This window comes from Homo sapiens, chromosome 8 (genome assembly GCF_000001405.40).
Source record: "Homo sapiens chromosome 8, GRCh38.p14 Primary Assembly".
Taxonomy (NCBI): Eukaryota; Metazoa; Chordata; class Mammalia; order Primates; family Hominidae; genus Homo; species Homo sapiens.
Window position 1 is genome coordinate 2593449 of NC_000008.11, and position 20684 is coordinate 2614132.

Sequence of the window (20684 nt, forward strand, 5' to 3'; positions counted from 1 at the left end):
CCCAACCTGAGAAAGACATGCATTAATGAAGAATGTGTGGGGAGTGCCACAGGACCACGTTAAGAGCCTTGAACTTGGAGAGACGAGGGTGAGAATGCAAACAAGATGAGGAGGTCACTGAGAAGCAGACTCTGTACAAGACCCTTTGCTCCTGGCTCATCACATTAATTTGTGGAGCCACTGGGTGAAAACCCCAGCTAGTGATCAGAATCCTACACCACGACATAGTGACAGACCACTGGGTGGAAAAGACACTCCACAAAGCAGTAGGCACAGAAGCAAAATCAGAACATCTAGGAGGTGTTTGCTGCAAAATCTAAAATGGACATGAAAGCTCCGTGTTAGAAACCAATTTGTGGCCTGGGGATGAGAGATAAAAAGGGTCATTATGCCAAGAGTGCCCACATGCCCTTGAATAAATTTTGGATCACTGAATTGGTAATGTAACTTTACATCAATCAATACCAGATTAAAATATAAAAGCGAGGTTTCTTCTTAGCAGCTCGTGCAGAGAGGAGATCAAAGAATAAGTCAACCACCACAGATTTTAAAAATACTTGGCCTTTATTGAATTCTTTTGTTCAAATCTGTGACAAAAATTCCCAACATCGGAATGATGAAAAGAGTCTACAGTGTGAAGAAAAAAGAATATGAACCTTGCTATATTTTACTTTATTTTATTTTATTTCTTTTTATAAATGTTTATTTTTTATTTTATTTTCCCTAAGTTATTGGGGTACAGATGGTATTTGGCTACATGAGTCAGCTCTTTAGTGGTGATTTGTGAGATTTGGTGCACTCGTCACCCGAGCAGTATACACTGCACCCTAAGTGTAGTCTTTGATCCCGCGCCTCCTTCCCACTCTTACCCCCAAGTCCCCAGAGTCAATTGTATCATTTTTATGGCTTTATATGAAGAAATAGATTTACTGTTGGAGGAATTTTTTTAAAAACTTTAGAAAGCTTCTATATTGTATTTTCAGTAACATTCAAGAAAACATGTATTTGTGAAATAAGAAAAATGTCAATGGGCTGAGATAAAAGGACTCAGCTGAGGAAGATTCAGGCAAAATTAAAAACAGAGCTTGGTAAGAAATCAAAATTTTAAGTAACAGTATGGAAATCAGTGTAAGAAGGATTAACAAGCAAAGCCCCCAATTTAGCAAAGTATATAAGTTCTGGTGATTACAAGCATGAGACGCAAGTCTAGAATAAAAAGCAAAGGACGCTGATTAGAATACAGCCCATAAACAGGTGAAAGAACAGTCTAGAACCTGGGTCAGTTTTTTGTTTTTTGTTGTTTTTGTTTTTTGAGATGGAGTCTGGCTCTGTCGCCCAGGCTGGAGGGCAGTGGTGCAATCTCGGCTCACTGCAAGCTCCGCCTCCTGGGTTCACGCCATTCTGCCTCAGCCTCCCTAGTAGCTGGGACTACAGGTGCCTGCCACTACGCCTGGCTAATTTTTTGTATTTTTAGTAGAGACGGGGTTTCACCATGTTAGCCAGGATGGTCTCGATCTCCTGACCTCATGATTCACCCGCCTCGGCCTCCCAAAGTGCTGGGATTACAGGCGTGAGCCACTGTGCCCGGCCGAACCTGGGTCAGTTTTATTCCTAAAGAAATTTTTATAAAACATCATAGAAATAACAAAGACAGTTTCCTGGTATAAAAAGAATCTATGTCTGTAGCTCAAAACGGATCACTGATACTCAGAAACACTTATTTTAAATAGTCAACAACAACCCCAAGTAGTTCAAATAGCTAAATATCTTCCAGCGAGGCAGCTTTAGTTCCAACAATAATCTACAGCTTAAAAAGCAATCAGGACTAGAAAGCATCAGTAATGACCAGGACACAACTGGAAGTCCTCTAAATTGGTCACTCCATTTTGTTTTCGTCTCTGACTACACACATTGGCAAACAGAATTTCAGTGTTCCTTGGAGTTGCCATGACTAACATGTTCACTATCTTGACTATATTTTACTCACCAGAAAAATAAGCTTAGGTGGTCCAGGTTCTATCTACACAGTTCTACAGCTCCCTGAGGTGTGGTTATTGTCAAGAACTCTGAAGGGCCTGAGATTTTACCATGCTTAGAAGTTGATGAGTTAACCTACCAGCTCCACGGTGCTGGCTGCTCCTGGGCAGGGATCCCTCACTGTTGAGCAATCAGCATCAGCTTCGTGTTAGTGTTGTCACAGCGTTGTGTGGTACGGTGCAGGTGGGTGCTGCGCGTGAAGTGGGTTTGCATCACTGCTGAAGAATAAGGATAGAGATTGTGCATTAAGAAAAATGAAATTATTAATAAGAAGTTTTAGGAATTAATAAAAATTTAACGCAAAGGAATTAATATATGGAAAAACACAAAACAATATAATAACAGCCCCATTATATTTCTTTCTACATTTAGAAAAGGTGGAATATTTCGTGACTCAGCTGAGGTGAATCACTAACTCTTCAAAAAAAATAAAAAGATAAAATTGGGGTTTTATTTTACATAGTACACAAAAAACTATTAAGAAGTTGATTAAAGACATATAGAATGGCAAGCTTAGAAGCCCCCACACTTAGGCGATGCAAGCAGAACTGTCCTGACGTTTGTTCTAGACGCACAGATCATCTGTGCTACACAGCGGTCAGTGGACAAGCCAGCTCTCTGGCCTGCGCATGACTACATGTCTCCTGTCCTTTAAGGTTAATCATTATACAAACATCATTTGGAAGATATTCCAGACCAAAAGCTGCCCTTGTGTCTACATGCCGTGTTGGGAGAAATGCAAGAGACCCGTGGAACGTTGTTTCACAACATTTAGAATTGTTCTTTAAGAAACATGCAAGATCACTGCCTTCTGAGCACCCCTGCACATTACAAATATATTCCTTCTTTTCAGATTATTGTTCTCCCTGCTGTCTGCTCACCGTCCTGTGGGGAAGCCATCCTCCTGCAGGAGCATGTGAGCCTGCTCAATGACTGACTACACAGGACATCCAAGAGAATTTGTTCAGACTAATTATTAAATTTTAATTAGGAGTTCAGTAAAATTGTTGGATAAGGGTGCAAAAACAATAGTGTCTCTACCCTCCATAAAAAGCTCATTTAAATTGGTGGTTATCAAAACAAAGACTCCATTCACAATAAACCCAGACAACCGAAGAAAATTCTAACAAAAGATGTACCTGATTTTTACAATGGAAACGATGTATTTTATGGGGGATTACACATCAATTCTGAATATATTAGGAGATTTCTCCTGCATCTAGAAAAGAAAAGGAGAATATAATAAGTGCTCCCCAAATTAATTCAAACATTCCAAGCAATTCTGTTTGAAAGCACAACTGATTATTTTTCAGAGACATAATAATAAGATTAATAGTTAATCTTCACAAGGAAGCATAAATGACCAAGAATATTCGGTACTAACTTGAAAATGAAGAATAAGGATAGAGATTGTACATTAAGAATAATGACATGATTAATAAGAAGTTTTAGGAATAAAATTTAATGAAAGAAATTAATATATGCAGAAAACAATAAAACAATATAAGAACCGACCCATTTATATCTCTTTTTACATTTAGAAAAGATGGAATATTTTGTGACTCTGCTGAGGTGAATCACTAACTCTTCAAAAAAAATTAAAAGATAAATTTGGGGTTTTATTTTACACAGTACACAAAACAACTATAAGAAGGTGATTAAAAATACATAGAAATAGTATAACTTAATTTTTTTTGAAAATATACGAACATTTAGAAGTTTTGATACAGATGGATTATTTTAAATAAGATATAATTTAAAGTTTAAAGAAGAGTGGATAAATTTAACTATACTGATTTAAAACATCAGTAGGAAGGAGCACCAAAAGTTAGTTGGGCAGGGCACGGTGGCTCACACCTATAATCTCAGCACTTTGGGAGACCGAGGTGGGTGGACCACTTGAGGCCAGGAGTTTGAGACCAGCCTGGCCAACATGGCAAAACCCCATCTCTACTAAAAATACAAAACTTAACTGGGCATGGTGGCGGGCACCTGTGGTCCCAGCTACTCAGGAGGCTGAGGCAGGAGAATCACTTGAACCTGAGAGGCAGAGGTTGCAGTGAGCCGAGATCGTGCCAACCTCACTGTAGCCTGGGCCACAGGGTGAGACTCCGACTCAAAAAAAAAAAAATTAATTCAGACAGCAGTTACAGGATTTTATAAATTTAAATAGAATTGCATGAGAACATATCTTACAATTCAGCAAAATAATATGCAATAAATTATGTACAAAGATAAGAATCTCCTTAGGAGTCAGAAAAATGTAAATCAAAATGTCAATGATACATCACTTTAGACCCAACAAATGGGCAGAATATAAATTTTCCCTGAAAATACTAAATGCTGGCAATCATGTGAGGAGAGACTATTTTTAGAAACTATTAATAGAATGTAACCTGTGACAACCTCTTTGGAAATCAACTTGGCAGCATTTAAAGACGTGAAGATGTACATTGTCAATACACGGATTTCTATTTTCAGGTATGAGTCCTAAGTGACACATTGACATGGAGTCCTGAACAGTGATTTTTGTGGTAGCATTTGGTTTAGTAGCCAGAAAACCCTAATATTTCACCAGATTGACAAAACGGATAACTAAATTGTGATTCATTCATAACGTTTAGTATTTTAGAACAGTTTCAATAAATACATTAGCATACATAATTTCAGTTTACAGAAATCACAAAATCATAATGTTGAATATAGCCAAGTACAAAATTCTACACACACCATGAGGCCCTCAGTGTAGAAATAAAACACCCACGTATACACACAAAACAAAACTGTCGTACAAGATTGTGGACATATACATAAGAATGACATGTCCCAGCTGTCAGACCAAGCACAGGTATGTGGGTGCAATCAGCCTCTAGTTGTACTGTGATGTTTTATTAACCTTATATTAAGAAAGAAATCTGAGAAAAAATATTGGAAACTGTCCAATCTGTGTGATGAATACATGGTTATTCACTACATAATATTCTACACTTTATAATTAAAATTGTTAAAATAACATGCTTTCACAGATTGAAAAACCAAGAAAACATATATTAAGCTTTTACAGTTCCATAGAACATATACAATAATTTGCTTCAGGTATACTGGATAATGACTCAGATAGGCAGCAGGAAAGCAATTCGTCTTCATTTCTTGAAGAAGTAATGACTGATGTAGTGGATTAAATGGTATCTGCCCAGGCCGGGCACGGTGGCTCACACCTGTAATCCCAGCACTTTGGGAGGCCAAGGCGGGCAGAACACGAGGTCACAGGAGTTCGAGACCAGCCTGGCTAACATGGTGAGACCCTGTCTCTACTAAAAATACAAAAATTAGCCAGGCATGGTGGCGGATGCCTGTAATCCCAGCTACTCGGGAGGCTGAGACAGGAGAATCGCTTGAACCTGGGAGGCAGAGTTTGCAGTGAGCCAAGATCGCGCCATTGAACTCCAGCCTGTGCAATAAGAGCAAAACTCCATTTCAAAAAAAAAAAAAAAAGATATCTGCACAAAATTCATGTCCAGCTGGAACCATGGCAGGTGACCTTATTTTGAAACTGAGTATTTCCAGATGTAATTATGTCAAGGACCTTGAGAAGAGATAACTTGGATTTAGGATGGACAGCTAAATCCAATGACTGATGTCATTGATCATCAAAGAAAACCAAAGATCAGCAAAGAAAAGGGAGACGTGAGTTACACCGAAGGTGGTGTGAGGATGGAGGCAGAGATCATGGGGGATGCCTCTAACAGCCAGGGAACAGCCAGGATTTCCCCCAGAGGCTGGGACAGACACCTGAGCAGGTGCTGCTTCAGAGCTTCCAGAAGGAACCAATCCTGCTGACAACTTGATTTCAGACTTCTGGCCTCCCTGAAATGCGAAAGAATAAATTTCTGTTGTTTTAAAATACCCAGTTTGTGGTAATTTGTTACAGCAGCCCTAGCAAGCTAATAAAATTGGGTAGGCATTGAATTACGGATGGGAAAAATACACATAAAATCCAAATATATTTTCTGTTTGCTTGGCATAATAAATGGTCTGTCACAACCTTCGCTACTTTTAGAAATGCTGTCAATATATTTCTTTACTTCTTAAAATGAAAAGTCTGAATTTTAAGGATTTCCTTGAGTATACATATAATTCTAATATTATTCCATATATCGAAGATCCATGCATCAGACGTGATGAGGTGAAGATTCTAGCTCCATCCCGCCCCTCTGAATTTTAGATTCCAAATTCATAAAATAATGCTGTTGATAGAGTTGCCCTGGAGAGTTGTGGTCTAAAGTCATATAGCTCGTACTAGAAAAATTTAGCTAAAATATTTACAATCTGCATATCCATGTTGTCTTAGGCACGGCTGTCCAACGATGTTTCACAATGTTGCTCAAATGTCCCCCCAGAATGTTTAATAACAAAACACTGTGCTTATCTCTAGCTTCTCCACCTTTTCAAAATACTTCTCAGTCAGTCATTTAAAGGTAGTTTCAAACTTCTGTAGATAGATATTACTCTTTAAAAAAATGACTAGCACTACTAATAATAATATTGTAAAGAAGCCAAACACTTATAGAGTGTTCACTTGTGCTGTTTTGCAAATGTAATCTCAGTTAACTCTCACAACAACCCTATGAGGCAATAGAGACAATAATGGTATTGGCTGTAAGTATTTTTGAAGATTAAATGGTAGTGAATATATAATATTCAGAGGAGTGCCTAGTATACCTCAAATGTAGTATCCAGTAAATATTAGCTCAGATTCATGATGCACTGAGATTGCCCAATGGTCGATTTGTCTTAAGTGATTGAAGTGAGGTGCTCATTTTTAATTTATACTTTTTAGTTACCCCACTAGGTGTTAAGGATGAGATTTCAAGTTCTAATGTAAGAATGGAGACTAGCGTGCACTTGCAAAGACAAGTGAAAGGCAACAGTGTTCACAAGGATGTCCACTTCTGCTGCCTGTGCTTTGCAAATTAATATACTGTGGGGGAAATGGAACCTGCTGAGGTACTGCCTTGGGTGCAAATAGCCTCAAATGTTTTCTGCCCCACTGGTGTCAAGAACATTAGGTGATAAGGTTTGGCTCTGTCCCCACCCAAATCTCATCTTGAATTGTACTCCCATAATTCCCACGTGTTGTGAGAGGGTCCTGGTGGGAGATAACTGAATCATGGGGGCACTCTCCCCCATACTGTTCTCATGGTAGGAATAAGTCTCATGAGATCTGATGGTTTGATGAGGGCAAACATGTTCAATTGGCTCTCACTCTCTCTCTTTGCCTGCTGCCATCTATGTAAGATGTGACTTGTTCCTCCTTGCCTTCCGCCACAATTGTGAGGTTTCCCCAGGCATGTGGAACTCTAAATCCAAATAAACCTCTTTCTTTTGTAAATTGCTCCATCTCCGGTATGTCTTTATCAGCATATCAGAAAATAGGCTAATACATTGGGCATAACATGGTTTTTTTTTTTAGAGTTTCTATTTTTTTAATTAATTTTAATTTCAATTCTGGTGTACATGTGCAGGATGTGCAGGTTTGTTACATAGGTAAACATGTGCCACAGTGGTTTGCTGCACCTATCAACCTATCACCTAGGTGTTAAGTCCAGCATGCATTAGCTATTTTTCCTGATGCTCTCCCTTCCCCGACCTCATCCCCAGACAGGCCGCCTCAATGTGTGTTGCTACCCTCCCTGTATCCATACGTTCTCATTGCTCAGCTCCCACTTATAAGTGAGAACATGCAGTGTTTGACTTAAGCTCTCTGTTGCTTAATTGTGAGCATGTATTATGGTTTTGCAGAGGTCATGATTGCATTTTCCGTTTCTTGGGTCAAAATATCAGAGGCTTTTCCAAATGCACAAACTGACAGAAAACTCTAGGACAGCCTGCTGTGGTTACAAAGACAAGAAGATCCAAGAATTCACAGTGACAGAGAACATTTTGCTTAACAGATAGAAAAGGTTTTCATAGAAATAAATTGCTTAAAACTTTCCAAACAATTTAGAGAATGCATGATGGGGACTGAATAAAAAGGATCATGAAACTAAAATCAGACAGGTTTGTGCAGCTCAAATCCAACGAGCAGGGACACCATGATCTTGCAGTCCCAGTGCGGCCAGGACAAAGAACAGTCATTTCATCCTATTGCTTAAGAAGAAAACCTGAAGATAGCTACTGTTATCCAACTTAATAGGTTTTGGTGAACTCCTACTGTTATTATTATTTTTTGGTATACAAACCAGTAAAATGAACTACATATAGTCCTAATTACAAAATATATATTCAACCTTTCTCCACAATTTCTTTTCCCTTCATGAAGTCCAACAAAACTTTATTCTAGCTATTGTCTTTATGTTCATACAAACCAGAAAATTCTACTAAATTTGACTTCTGCTAGACTCAAAATTCTGGTAGACTCTGTGAAACTAGATTTAATGAAACTTATTGTATCCTTTTCATTTTGTATACAAATATTTTTGTAGAATTTTAGCTTTCAAAATCTTAGCTTTATCATGGCATGTTGCAAAGTAGATGATACTGAACAGAGAGAAAGTTTTATTTATATTTACACAAAACATGCACACAGAGCCCCCACAGGGCCGTTGGCTAGCACTCCTACACAATTTCTAAGACTTTGATGGAAGGATATCTGAAAAGTTAACCTAAAAGATGGGGAAGAGGATAAGTAACTATTAGCTAATAAACAGGGAACATGTCAGTTTGTGGAGTTCGAAGTAAAGGAAAATATCTGTGCTGGCTGCTCCGGTCCCCAGATATAGCCTTAGACCTACAAGAGCTGTGAATCCTTAGAAATGACCCCCTAATGGGGAGAGCATAGTGGGAGGCCTGGAATAGAATCTAGGTTGACTTAATTATGCCGAAAAATATAGGCAGGTTTTTTTCTCTGTTAAAGACACCATTTTTGCTTATACATATATTTAATCCTTTATGGCCTAAGGGAAACAATGTGAAGCCCTAGGCTAACAGGAAATAATTTATTTCTGTGATTTTATTAAAGGGCTCGAAAATAAGCATTCTGAGAACTAGGGGAAAATAAAAAAAAAATTGAGCTATTTAGATTTGAGTGTAAAACAGCAGTTAGCTTATAATTACTTTAAAATACATAGTCTATTATGTAACATACACTTACCAATTGTTCACTGTCTCACAATGAACTGAAGGACAGAAAAGAAAAATGTGATTTAGGTTAAGTCTAGGAACAAACATCTTAAAGGGTTATTAAAAACAGAAAAAAATTTTCTCAAAGGAACACACAAATTACGTTTCAAGGAGTATATTAGTCTGGTCTCACACTGCTATAAAGGAATACCCAAGACTGGGTAATTTACAAAGAAAAGAGGTTTAATCCGCTCACAGTTCTGCAGGTTGTACAGGAAGCACAGCTGGGGAGGCCTCAAGAAACAATCATGGCAGAAGGAGAAGCAGGCACACTTTTAAACAACCAGATTTCCTTAGAGCTCTATCATGAGACCAACACTAGTCAGTGCTAAACCACTAGAAACTGACCCCAAGATCCAATCACCTCTCACCAGGCCCCACCTCCTAACTTGGGGATTACCATTTAAAATGAGATTTGGTTGAGGACACAGATCCAAACCACACCAAAGAGTGTTGTACAATAGAATAGTGTTTCCCTTGTCTAATATTTCTACACATTTGTCAGTGTGTTACATGTGTGAACATGTAACATCCCACAGTTTATCTCACAATATCTGCCAAAAAGAAGAAGTCAAAAGTTTGAAAATTTACGCTGAAACTATTTGCCGTTACTTGTCACAACAAAACAAACGCAGATGTGCTATTTCCCACAATCTCTGTGCAATCTTAATTTCCTGAAATACAGTTTCTTCCCATTTGATTTTACAACCTGTGTTTACTATTTCTGACAAATACAAACATGTTTATGTTACATGTGTTTACATTTGGATACATACATTTAAATTATGACAGTTTAGCATTTTCTCTTGAATTATAAACAATTCTATGAATACACTACTCTTCTAAAATTAAACAAAGTAATCTTGGCCTGTTTTTTTAGTTTGCTTGTCAGCTAATAACAAGTAAATACAGGCTGGATGCAATGACTCATGCCTGTACTGGGGGGCGGAGGCAGGAGGATTGCTTGAGCCCAGGAGCTCCAGGCTGCAGTGAGCTGTAATCACACCACCGCACTCTATCCTGGGCAACAGGGTGACACCCTGCCTCAAAAAGAAAAGTAAATACTTGTGGCACACACCTGTATAAAGTCACTGTACTTATTTTCTGTAGCTAGAAACAAGCAGAGAATTTATATCTGCTTTTCTGGCTTTAATAAACAAAAAAACTCCAGGAGACAGATTATTCATTTCACTATTATTTTCTGCCTTTTTCTTAAAAGTCAGATCTCCTTTTACCTGAGTCAAGGTGAGTGAACACTTCCTGCCAAACTCAGATGGCAGTTACTACTAGTGAGGCTCCCTGAGCATCTTACAACCTGGGGCAGAAATTTGCTGGTCTCAGTTTATTCATTTATATTTAAATAATGAGTTAAGAGAAAATCAAATTTAACACGTTATGCAGCATATTGCATTATGTTTAATAATACAAACCTTACCAAATTATTACTAAGTAATTTCAGCTGTAATCAAGCAAGATTCATGGGATGAAATCATCAAACTTGATCTTTGTCTCTTCTTACCTCCTTAAAATTGTTCTGGGAAAGCCTGTTCTGTAATGATTCTGATCATTCCCAGGGCATAAATAAACCTCTTTAATATGTCCAGGGCACTGTCTAAATGAAGATATCAGATTATTAAACTTCCTTCATGATGGCCCCAATTCCTGACTCTCACGAGTGCAGTTGGAGCGAGCCTTGGAGGGTGCAGGTTTTCCCTCATTTTGCCCACTTTCCCCATTTTTTGTGGCTTTGCTTTTCCTCCCTGTCTCACATCTGCAGGTTTTACCCCATCGTGGCCTCTGGAAGGAGAGCTCACATGGAGTCTAACCTGAGCAGCTGAATTCCTCAAAGACGGACCCTGTTCTTTCCTTCCCCTTACTTAGGCTCTTTCATATCCTGCTGACAGTGGCAGGTGCCCAATGTCTGTTGCTCACAACCTTCCCGTTACTGTCTTCTTGCTGCCCCGCAAACTCAGGAGAGTTCAGAGTGGGCTCCCATAATAATAATAGGATTATGGGAGCCCAAGCTGGACTTTAATCATAGTATAATTTTGACTCTAGCAGCAGTATCTTTACCAAGCCATTAGACCTGGTGGCAGGAAAGCCAATCACTTGCCTGTGTTTCTCAGGTGTGACTCAGACTTCAGTAGATCCAGAAGTGGCATAATCTGTCTCTGAGACCTTCTTAAGTATCTCCTTCTTGAGGTGAATCTGCCATTTACATCGGTAATAGTCTCATGATTTCACTTTCGTGACTGTTTTGTACCTTAAATATGGAGGAGAGACCTAGGTTAGAAGCAATCTTAAATCTTTACAAATATCGCATGTCTGTATTTATCAGCTGAAATAGAAACCAAAATAGTTCAATTTTAACATCCTAGTATACATAGTAAAAGTTGGTGACTTCGGGGCACAAAAAGAGGAAATAAGTCATTTCTCTGAGTTATGATAAATATTTCTTAAATACAGTTTATTTGGGGAGAAGGAATCCAGGGAGAATGCTCCAATGAATTACTTCTGAAAGACCTTTAGTGAACAGAAGAATTAAATTTAGTATATGTTATCAATGCATTGTTTTTATTAAACATAATTTAAGATCGTTGGATATCTTTTCAAAAATACCGAAGTATTAGGCATTGTTTCTCCAAAAACAGAAGTTATGGTAACAGATAAAGAGTTCCATGATTTAGAGAGTAAGGTATATGCAGAGAGCTACAAAGAAAAGAAAATTCAGTAAAGCGAGTAATCAGATATTTTATGGAGAGGAAGCAACACCATGATGACTATCTGGTGCAGAAATAGTGGAACAAGTTACGGGTAGAGGTTCTTGCTTTGCAGGATACACAGGCTGATGATGGCTGATACCTTCACAGATGTTCTCAAAGCCCCCTCCCACTGCTGACCCCACATCAAGAAGCTCAGCCTCCACTTTTCTCAAACTCATCCTTCTCCTAACTCCTGCCAGCACATCCCTGTTCAAGACCCCTGGCTTAGAAGAGCCCGGCTGACCCCTCACAGCTCTGTGCAGCTCTGAGGATGCAGCCATGTTGCAGCCACTACTTTCAAATCAGTATTCATAAAACACATTTATTACAACGTGTCGTCTTGAAAATTCATCAGTGATTCTCACCAAAACATTTCCGTAAAAATGCTCTCCATGATCTTCCTCCACCCCTTATTTTACACAATTATCTTCTCCTCCCCCATAGGCAGAGGCCACCAAAGATCAGCCCTGCATTTTACTAAACACAATTTTTATTTATCCAGTCACTGCAAAACAGTAACAACGATATTGACCCACGCATTCAGCATAACAAAGCCCAGTGTGAGAACTATCTGAGCGCTACTTTGCCTGGGCTCAGAATGTGGTACCCAAATATACGGCATGTTGGAGATTAAGAAAATGCAGGAGCAAGGTCACTCTGACCTTCCTTTGCCTTTCTCCCCAAAAGCAGGCCATAAAGGAATTTTCTGACCAACCTTGCCTGAAATACCCTCATTCTAGATGGGTCCTGCCGTATACCCAGAAGCCAGGGGCACTCTGAACACACATGCCCTGCTAAAGTCACCCCAGTTGGTCCAAACCTGCTCCCGCACGGTTGTCCATTCTTCATTGAACCAAAGCATAAACATGGACAATTTTCCCTGGGTCTTTGGGGTTTCATTTCTAAAGGCTCCCATGTCATATAAAATTTTGATTAAATAAATGTGTTGGGCTTTTCTCCCATTGATCTGTCTTTTGGTGTGGGATGTCAGTATGAACCTTGCGGTGGGAAAGGGAAAGATAAGATTTTTTCTCCCTCACACATATTAGCATCCAAATCTACTGCATTACAGGGTTTGCTTTTGAGGTCAAATTCAAACATTACCTCCTTCTTGAAACTGTCATTGATTCACATAGTTCCCTGGTCAGAAGAAATTCCTCACTCCTCTATCCTCTAAACGCCTGTAAGGATATCTTTCCTGTCTTCTTCAAACTCAGTAGCACACAATTTGTGCATCTGGTTTCTTATTTACCAGATTTAAAAAATGGAACAGTAGTACCTAAATAAATATTACTGGATTAAATGTGCTATTTGTACTGGTACCATGCACTAATGTATTAGATTGACGTATATGTAATTGTGTATTTTGCCATTGTAATTGCAAAAACCGTAATAATTTTTGCACCAATCTACTACTAAAGCATATGTTGTGAAGTGTGTGTGTGTGTGTGTGTGTGTGTGTAGTGTGTTGAGAAAAATCTAGCAAATTCCTTTAATGATCTGCTTTTATAGAAATTGGTTTTACACTCCTGTTCCTACTGACTCCTGCTTCTAATTAAATCATAAAATAGCAACAGATTTAGTTTTTGGAAATTTTTCTTTCAAATATGTAATACTTCAAAATGAGAAGAAAAGATAACTCACAGTCATGTAGGAATTGCAGAACCTCTCTGCTGCTTCCCGCGCACCTTGGGCTTTGCCTAATTCATCTTGTATATGCGTGCAGTGATGAATATGCATTGTTTCTTGGTGAGCACAGGAGGGTCCCAGAGAGGAACACTAATTCTTGTTCTCTAATTTGTGGTGCGCTCTTAACAGAGCGCATTTAACACATTCCACACCTTGGATTATATCCTTTTCCAAAAATAGCTTTAAAAAATACCTTTTGCTGAAAGCATCCTACATTCTCTTTTTATATATAAAAAAAGTAAAAATCTGAGCCTTTATGGTATTCTACAATATTTTATGTAGAACTTTGTACTGTTATTTTCAACGTTCAAATAACGGGAGGAAATTTACACCTGGACTCCACAGTCTCCCATGACTTGTGGAGAAAGGATTTGTAGCAAATCAATCTACGACCAGAAGATAGATATGTGTACTTTTTCCTCAATTCGAGAAGCAACATCAATCTTTACTGTGAGCAGCAATGGAAAAACAATGCAGAGAAAGATTACGGAAGACAAAGCCAGAGGAGAACAGGGGCTGGAATATTCTGCCAGGGGTGGCAACTCCGACGTGGGATTCATTAATGCAGTGAGAGAAAGACGGTGTTTGGTTTTTAGGCTGGCATCCCCCGGTGAAGACAATTTTTTAAGGGATTTAGCATTGTCATCAGACTTCTTAAGCCCTGCAGCGGAATTAATAACATATTAGGGGATTCTTCTGCAGTTTTTGCCTGAAGTGTTTTTTTTTTTTTCAGGTGAGTTTCAGGTTCCTTCCATTCTAATGAAGGCATTAAGAATTCTCTTGGGAGCATTATAAGTTAGAACTGAAACTTATGCAAATATTTTTCCCCGTAGCAGTTTGGGCGTACTACAGTCTCTAGCTTCCAGTCTTTGCTCGCTGAAATGAATGTTTCAACAGCTTCATGCCAGTCTGGTCGCCACAAAACCCTAAATTGTGTGTAATATTTTATGCTAGTGATCAGTTGCATACAACACAAATAAGACTGTTAGGCTCATAAAGTTGTTAAGCTGACATATTTCAAAGGAAACTCTTCTAAAATAAAACCTTTCTTAAGGTTAAAAATGCATTTTTCATAGTACAGAAAAATAAACAATAACTCTGAATGTTATTACTGTTGACTTTAAAAAATCATACATTTTTGTCTTTGATTTTTATCATGCTCTTATTTGAATATGACAATATTCTCTCGATTAGTCTTGGCACCCTTATCAAGCATCATTTGACCATATACGTAAGGGTCTATTTCTGAGCTCTTTCTTCTCTTCCTTTGGCCTATATGTCTATCTTTTTGTCAGTAACCACAGTGTTTGATTAGTATAGCTCTGTAGTAAATTTTGAAAGAAGGAAGTGAGTCCTTCAACTATGTCCTTCTTTTTCAAAATTATTTTGAGCTGAGCACAGTGGCTCACTCTGTGGGAGGCCAAGGTGGGGAGATCACTTGAGCCCAGGAGTTCTAGACCAGCCAGGGGAATAAAGGAAGACCCCGTCTTTACAAAAAAAAAAAAAAATGTTGGGTATTCAGGATCCTTTAAGACTTCACACAAATTTTAGGATAATTCATTTCTATTTCTGCAAAAAAATGCTGTTGGGATTTGTACAGAGATTGCACTAAATTTGATCTTTCTTGGTAGTATTGGCAACTTAACAATAGTCTTTAAATTCATGAAAATGAGATTTTTTTTCCATTAATTGTGTGTCTTCTTTAATTTCTTTCAGCAATATTTTATAGTTGTGGCTGTGATATTTTTAGAAGTTGATTGACAATGATGAGATGCACGTGTTTTAAACTAAGAAGAAACCAGCTCAGTTGTGCTGTCACTAACATTTTAAGCTTTGGCTTTTTTTATTTGCGGAATTGATAATGTGTTTTTCAAAGGATTATAAAAAAGATAAAATGAGATAGTTTCGACTAAGCACTTATCACACACAACTTGACACACAAATAAGTAAACTGTTGTTGTATAATAATTGTTGATATATTTGTTGTTGCCACCAGTAATTAGAATTTTAGTTATTTTGGTTACTAGAGCAAGATTGAGCAAGATTAAGGGCAACTTTTTGTTTATTATTTACGTAGAGGAGACAGTAGCATAAATGTATCAAACAATTTGAAATACAGTTTTATAAAAACAATCAAAATATCAGTTTTTTAAAATTCTGACTGAAAGTAAAGAGATTAAGACACCAACATATATCACTGTGAATTCAAACAAGAACACGCACTTTCTTTAGGCCTATTTATCATAATTACTCAGGAAAGTTCAAGAGAATAAACAGTGAATATAGCACTAAAGCAGAAGTTTCATTTAAACATAATATTTTAGACAAAGTCCAAATGAGAAATAACACGTTTCCTTTTTACTTCCAGCAACTCACGTAACCTCTTAGAGATCTATAATCTCCTTGATAATATTTTATAGATCACAGATTCAAATTTTTGTCATTTATTTACAGTCTTCTACCATTCCATTATGTTTCCGTCTTGGAATTCTTAGAACCAACCTTTTAAGAGAACATGATTTCCTTAAGAAATGGTGAAAAGCAGTATGTAATATACTGTATGTCTTTGCTGACTGCATTGCAAATGAGTAACATAGAGTTACACTGAAGAGGTTTTTGAAGAGACAATCCATGCAATTTTAACTGAAATAAATATCTCAGTGTTAAAAAAAAATATGCAGTTTGTTTCCTACATATTTTTAATAATACGCACTTCAGTAGTCTTGGCCAGATTGCAGATATATACATACATATCATGTGTGTATTTTTAACATTGGTAAACTACTAAATTTATAAAGAAATGCCAGTCTGATTTCCTATTATCAATATAAAAATGTAAAGTTTATATATAATGGTCAAAATAGCCATTTGTTTCTTCTAAGGGAAAATGTGAAAATTAATTCTTAATATAAATTTTCCCAGTGACTTATATACAGATAAATAAAATTTATTTAAGATTTAAAATTAGTACTGCCCTCCTTGCCCCAGGATTTCCATGCACCTGTTATAAAAGAGTTCGGAAAGGGAAAATTGGATAAGTGTTTTACCCTTGAAAATTGACAGAATTAATTAAGGGAAAAGGAAAATCAGACATCCTGTTTTGGATTGAACTGTGTCCCTCAAAAAGATATGCTGAAGTCCTAATTTCTGGTACCTGTGTATGTGACTTTATTTAGAAATTGGGTTTTTGCAGATGTAATCAAGTTAAGATGAGGTCATTCTGGAGCAGGCTGGGCCTTAACTCCAATCACTGGTATCCTTATGAGAAGAGATACAGAGACAGCCGGAGAGTGCACCTGGTGATGATGGCAGAGCCTGGAGTGATGCATCTACAAACAAATGAATGCCAGGAAATGCAGGCAAGAACCAGACAATTGGAGAGAGGCTGGGGCAGCTTCTCTCCCAAAGCCCTCACACAGGAACCACACCTGTTGACATGGTTTGGATCTGTGTCCCCACCCAAATCTCATGTCAAATTGTAATCCCCAGTGTTGGAGGAGGGGCCTGGCGGGAGGTATCTGGATCGTGGGGGTGGATTTCCCCCTTGCTGTTCTCATGATAGTGAGTTATCATGAGATCTGGTTGTTTAAAAGTGTGTGGCACCTCCCCACTTGCTCTCTACCTCCTGGTCCAGCCCTGGAAGATGTGCCTGCTCCCTCTTCACCTTCTACCATGATTGTAAGTTTCCTGAGGCCTCCCCAGCCATGCCTCCTATACGGCCTGTGAAACCATGAGCCAATTTAAACCTCTTTTCTATATAAGTTACTCAGTCTCATGTAGTTCTTTACAGCAATGTGAGAGCAGGCTGATGCACCTGCCCACACTTTGAATAGGGGCTTCTAGCCTCCAGGACTGTGAGAGAATAAACATTTGTTGTTTTCAACTCACCTAGTTTTTGTTATTTTATTATAGCAGCTCTGGGAAAGCAATACACATAGAATCAGAGTGGAGGAAATCTTAGATTTACTAACCAAAGAGAAAAAGAGCAGGTTAGGCTCCAGAGACCCCAGACTCAGAGGCCCCTGTGGATCTACCAGACTTGCTGGCACCTGATAAGCGAAAATTTATCATGGTTTTCTTAACACAGTGGGAAAAAAGGCCAATGGCGTCATCAAATCCTGCTTCCTAGCTTAGCAACATCAGTGAAATCGCATCACCTTTGACAACTCCAGGGAAACACATTATTTTATTACACGGATTGAGGAATGGTGAGACAATCATTGAAACAGGCCTTGCATCAAGTCACATAATTCATCACTGCAGACTGTGGGAGGAGCAGGGATCTTCCTTGCAAAATCGTATGGTACTGATAGTGTCAAGTACTGTCATTAAAAATAATGGTGGCAAAAAATGGGTCAATTTCAGAACAGTAACTTAACATAAGGTCATGGATGATTTCAGCGATCATCTATAATTGCACACAACTTTTCTAATCCCTTGAATATATATTATCATCTTTGATTCTCACGGTGGACCTGCAGAAGAGAAAAACTATACTAATCCCTGTTTCACAATGAATTTGAATCACAGGTTAGGAGGCTAATACAGGTATATGAAGTTATTGTAATGGCAATTAAAACTACTAACATCTATTTCTGATTCAGTTATGCAGGAACATGATGAATTATCAAAATGTAGCATTTTCCCCAAATCTGCTCCTTTAAAAATTTACCAACTAAGCTTAATTATTCTTTTCACATTAAATTCACATATACATATAAAAATATTTGTGTGTATATATGAACATAATTATGTATATATGCATGTATATACAAGTACATACACATGTATATGTACTTTTGAAGGTACCATGTAAAGTGTGTTCAATTTGATTATCTCATATGTTTATCTTGGTTCTTTGCATCAAAATAAAATCTAATTGCTTTTGCCATTATATTGTTCTCTATTCCTCTGGGGACTACACAACTTTTTCATAAAGATTCTATTTCTGTTCCTGAGATGTAGTAATGTGTTCATGTACTCAGCATTCTATTTGATGGTTTCATTTGTATTTCTACTTTACTGGCATTGGAGGTTAGCCCTGTCCCTTTACACTTGGGTTGGGAAGGAGCTCACAGAAAAAGACTCTCCCAGCACAGAGGGACCTCTGGTGGCCCCACAGCCCCTCATCTGTGTCCCTGTGGCCGGCAGGCAGCCCTTATCCATTCCAGCTGCCTCCATGGTGTTTACTCTGAAGGAGTCAGAGTAAGTTGTGTTTCTGTTAATCATGTGGAATGCTAATGTCTTTAATGCCAATGAGTGTCGCCATGTAAGGTCCTTCTGTCATCACCACATATTAATGCAAACATGGCGCCCATGGAAGTGAGGGCGAGAGACTGTGCAGGGCAGATCTCATTCACAAAGGGTGATGCTCAGCATCTGAGTACAAGCCAAGATCCATCCATGAGAGAAGACAGAGGTGAGATTAGAAGGAAGGAAATAACCAAGCCCATCAGAGACATTTTGAAAATTGTCCCATAACTGCCTTGAATAGAAATAAAAGATACAAGAATTTACTTTTCTACTAATGTCTGTTGTTTTATAATATTCTACTTTTCCTGATTGGAGCATATGAAACTATCCAAATTCAAGCATTATCAAATTTAAAGATGGGTTATGTAAAAGTCAAAATCTTCCAGATTGCTGTAGCACCCTAGAAAGAATTATTATCTAACATTTTAAATATATATTTAATTTTTTTCTTGTATACTTACAGGTATATACTATATTTTTTGATAAAAAGTGGATCATATCTCATACACTGTGGGGCAAAATGTTATTTTCTTTTAGCTATTTTACTTGCACATGATTTCATGTTAGGAAATATAGCTGTCCATAATTCTTTTTAAGCAGAATATGGTAGTTTTTTAGTAAGAATATGCTTATAATTTATTACATTTTATTAAAATTTTCCTGATGAATATTTGAATTATTTCTAACATGTCACTAATTTAAACAGTGCTGCATTTTGATATATATTATTTAGACACTTAAGAAAATATTTCTAGAGGATAAATTCCTGGAAATAGAAATGTCAGGTTACACAGCAGATACTTTTAAGGTTTTATGAGACATTACCAAAATGCTTTCTAAAATGTATCAATTCATTCTTCCATTAAGATTGTAGAAGAGTGCCTGTTTCTCAACAGCTTTCCAGCAAGGATACCACCATTTCTATAGTTAAAAAATATTAATAGTCCAGAAGCGATACATTTATTATTAAGTTATCAATTCTGTAAATTTTAGTAAGCTTGGGCATGCATTAATAAGTTAATTAGGCTCCATTCTTTTGCAGTGAATTGCCTATTCATATCATTGCCAATATATTATAATACTGTACTCTTGCCAGAGATCCACATGTGATTTTGTTAACAAGATTTCATAGGCAGTAGAATGAACCTTCTATGTGTTCACAAAGTATATAACACAGAACTGGCCAATACGAGATCTGCAATCATTATACTCAATAATTGTTGCAGGTTTAATAATAATTAAGTATAAACATTTTTCTAATGGCCCTCTAACTTTCCTTATAGTTGCTATATTGTTTTGTAAAAGTACTAACTATAGAATTTTACCACTGTTTATTTCCAGAAGAACTTTATTTCCTTTATAAAAACTATTCTATATTCTACTCTTTGCTTTAACCAACACAATTGTCTGAAGTTTGCAGAGTGCTATACAGATATATACTTAGTAATATGAAAATTATCCCTAAAAGGGTCAAAGTTAAGTATTATTGACGTAGTTTGCATATTTGTGCCCCAAAATCTCATGTTGAATTGTAGTCCTCAGTGTTGGAGTTGGGGCCTGGTGGGAGGTAACCAGATCATGGAGGTGGATTTCTCATGAATGGTTTAGTGCCATTTCCTTGGTGCTGTCCTCGGGAGAGTGAGTGAGTGCTCTTGAGATCTGGCCATTTAAAAGAGTGTGGCACCTCCCTCTCTCTCACTTGTTCCTGCTCTGGCCATATGACTGTCTGTTCCCCATTCGCCTTCTGCCATGACTGGAAGC

The 20684-nt window shown here is 37.7% G+C and overlaps 1 long non-coding RNA gene across 2 annotated transcripts in view; it reads right to left on the minus strand.

Moving 5' to 3' along the window:
- Positions 1–20684, minus strand: part of LINC03021 (long intergenic non-protein coding RNA 3021) — a 198360-nt gene that overhangs the window by 63357 nt on the left and 114319 nt on the right. For both annotated transcript variants that reach the window (NR_125425.1, NR_125423.1), the window contains 3 exons: positions 11333–11482; positions 3177–3256; positions 2117–2255 (listed from right to left, as the gene is read on the minus strand). This is a non-coding gene — a long non-coding RNA (long intergenic non-protein coding RNA 3021). The remainder of the gene's footprint in view (positions 1–2116; positions 2256–3176; positions 3257–11332; positions 11483–20684) is intronic.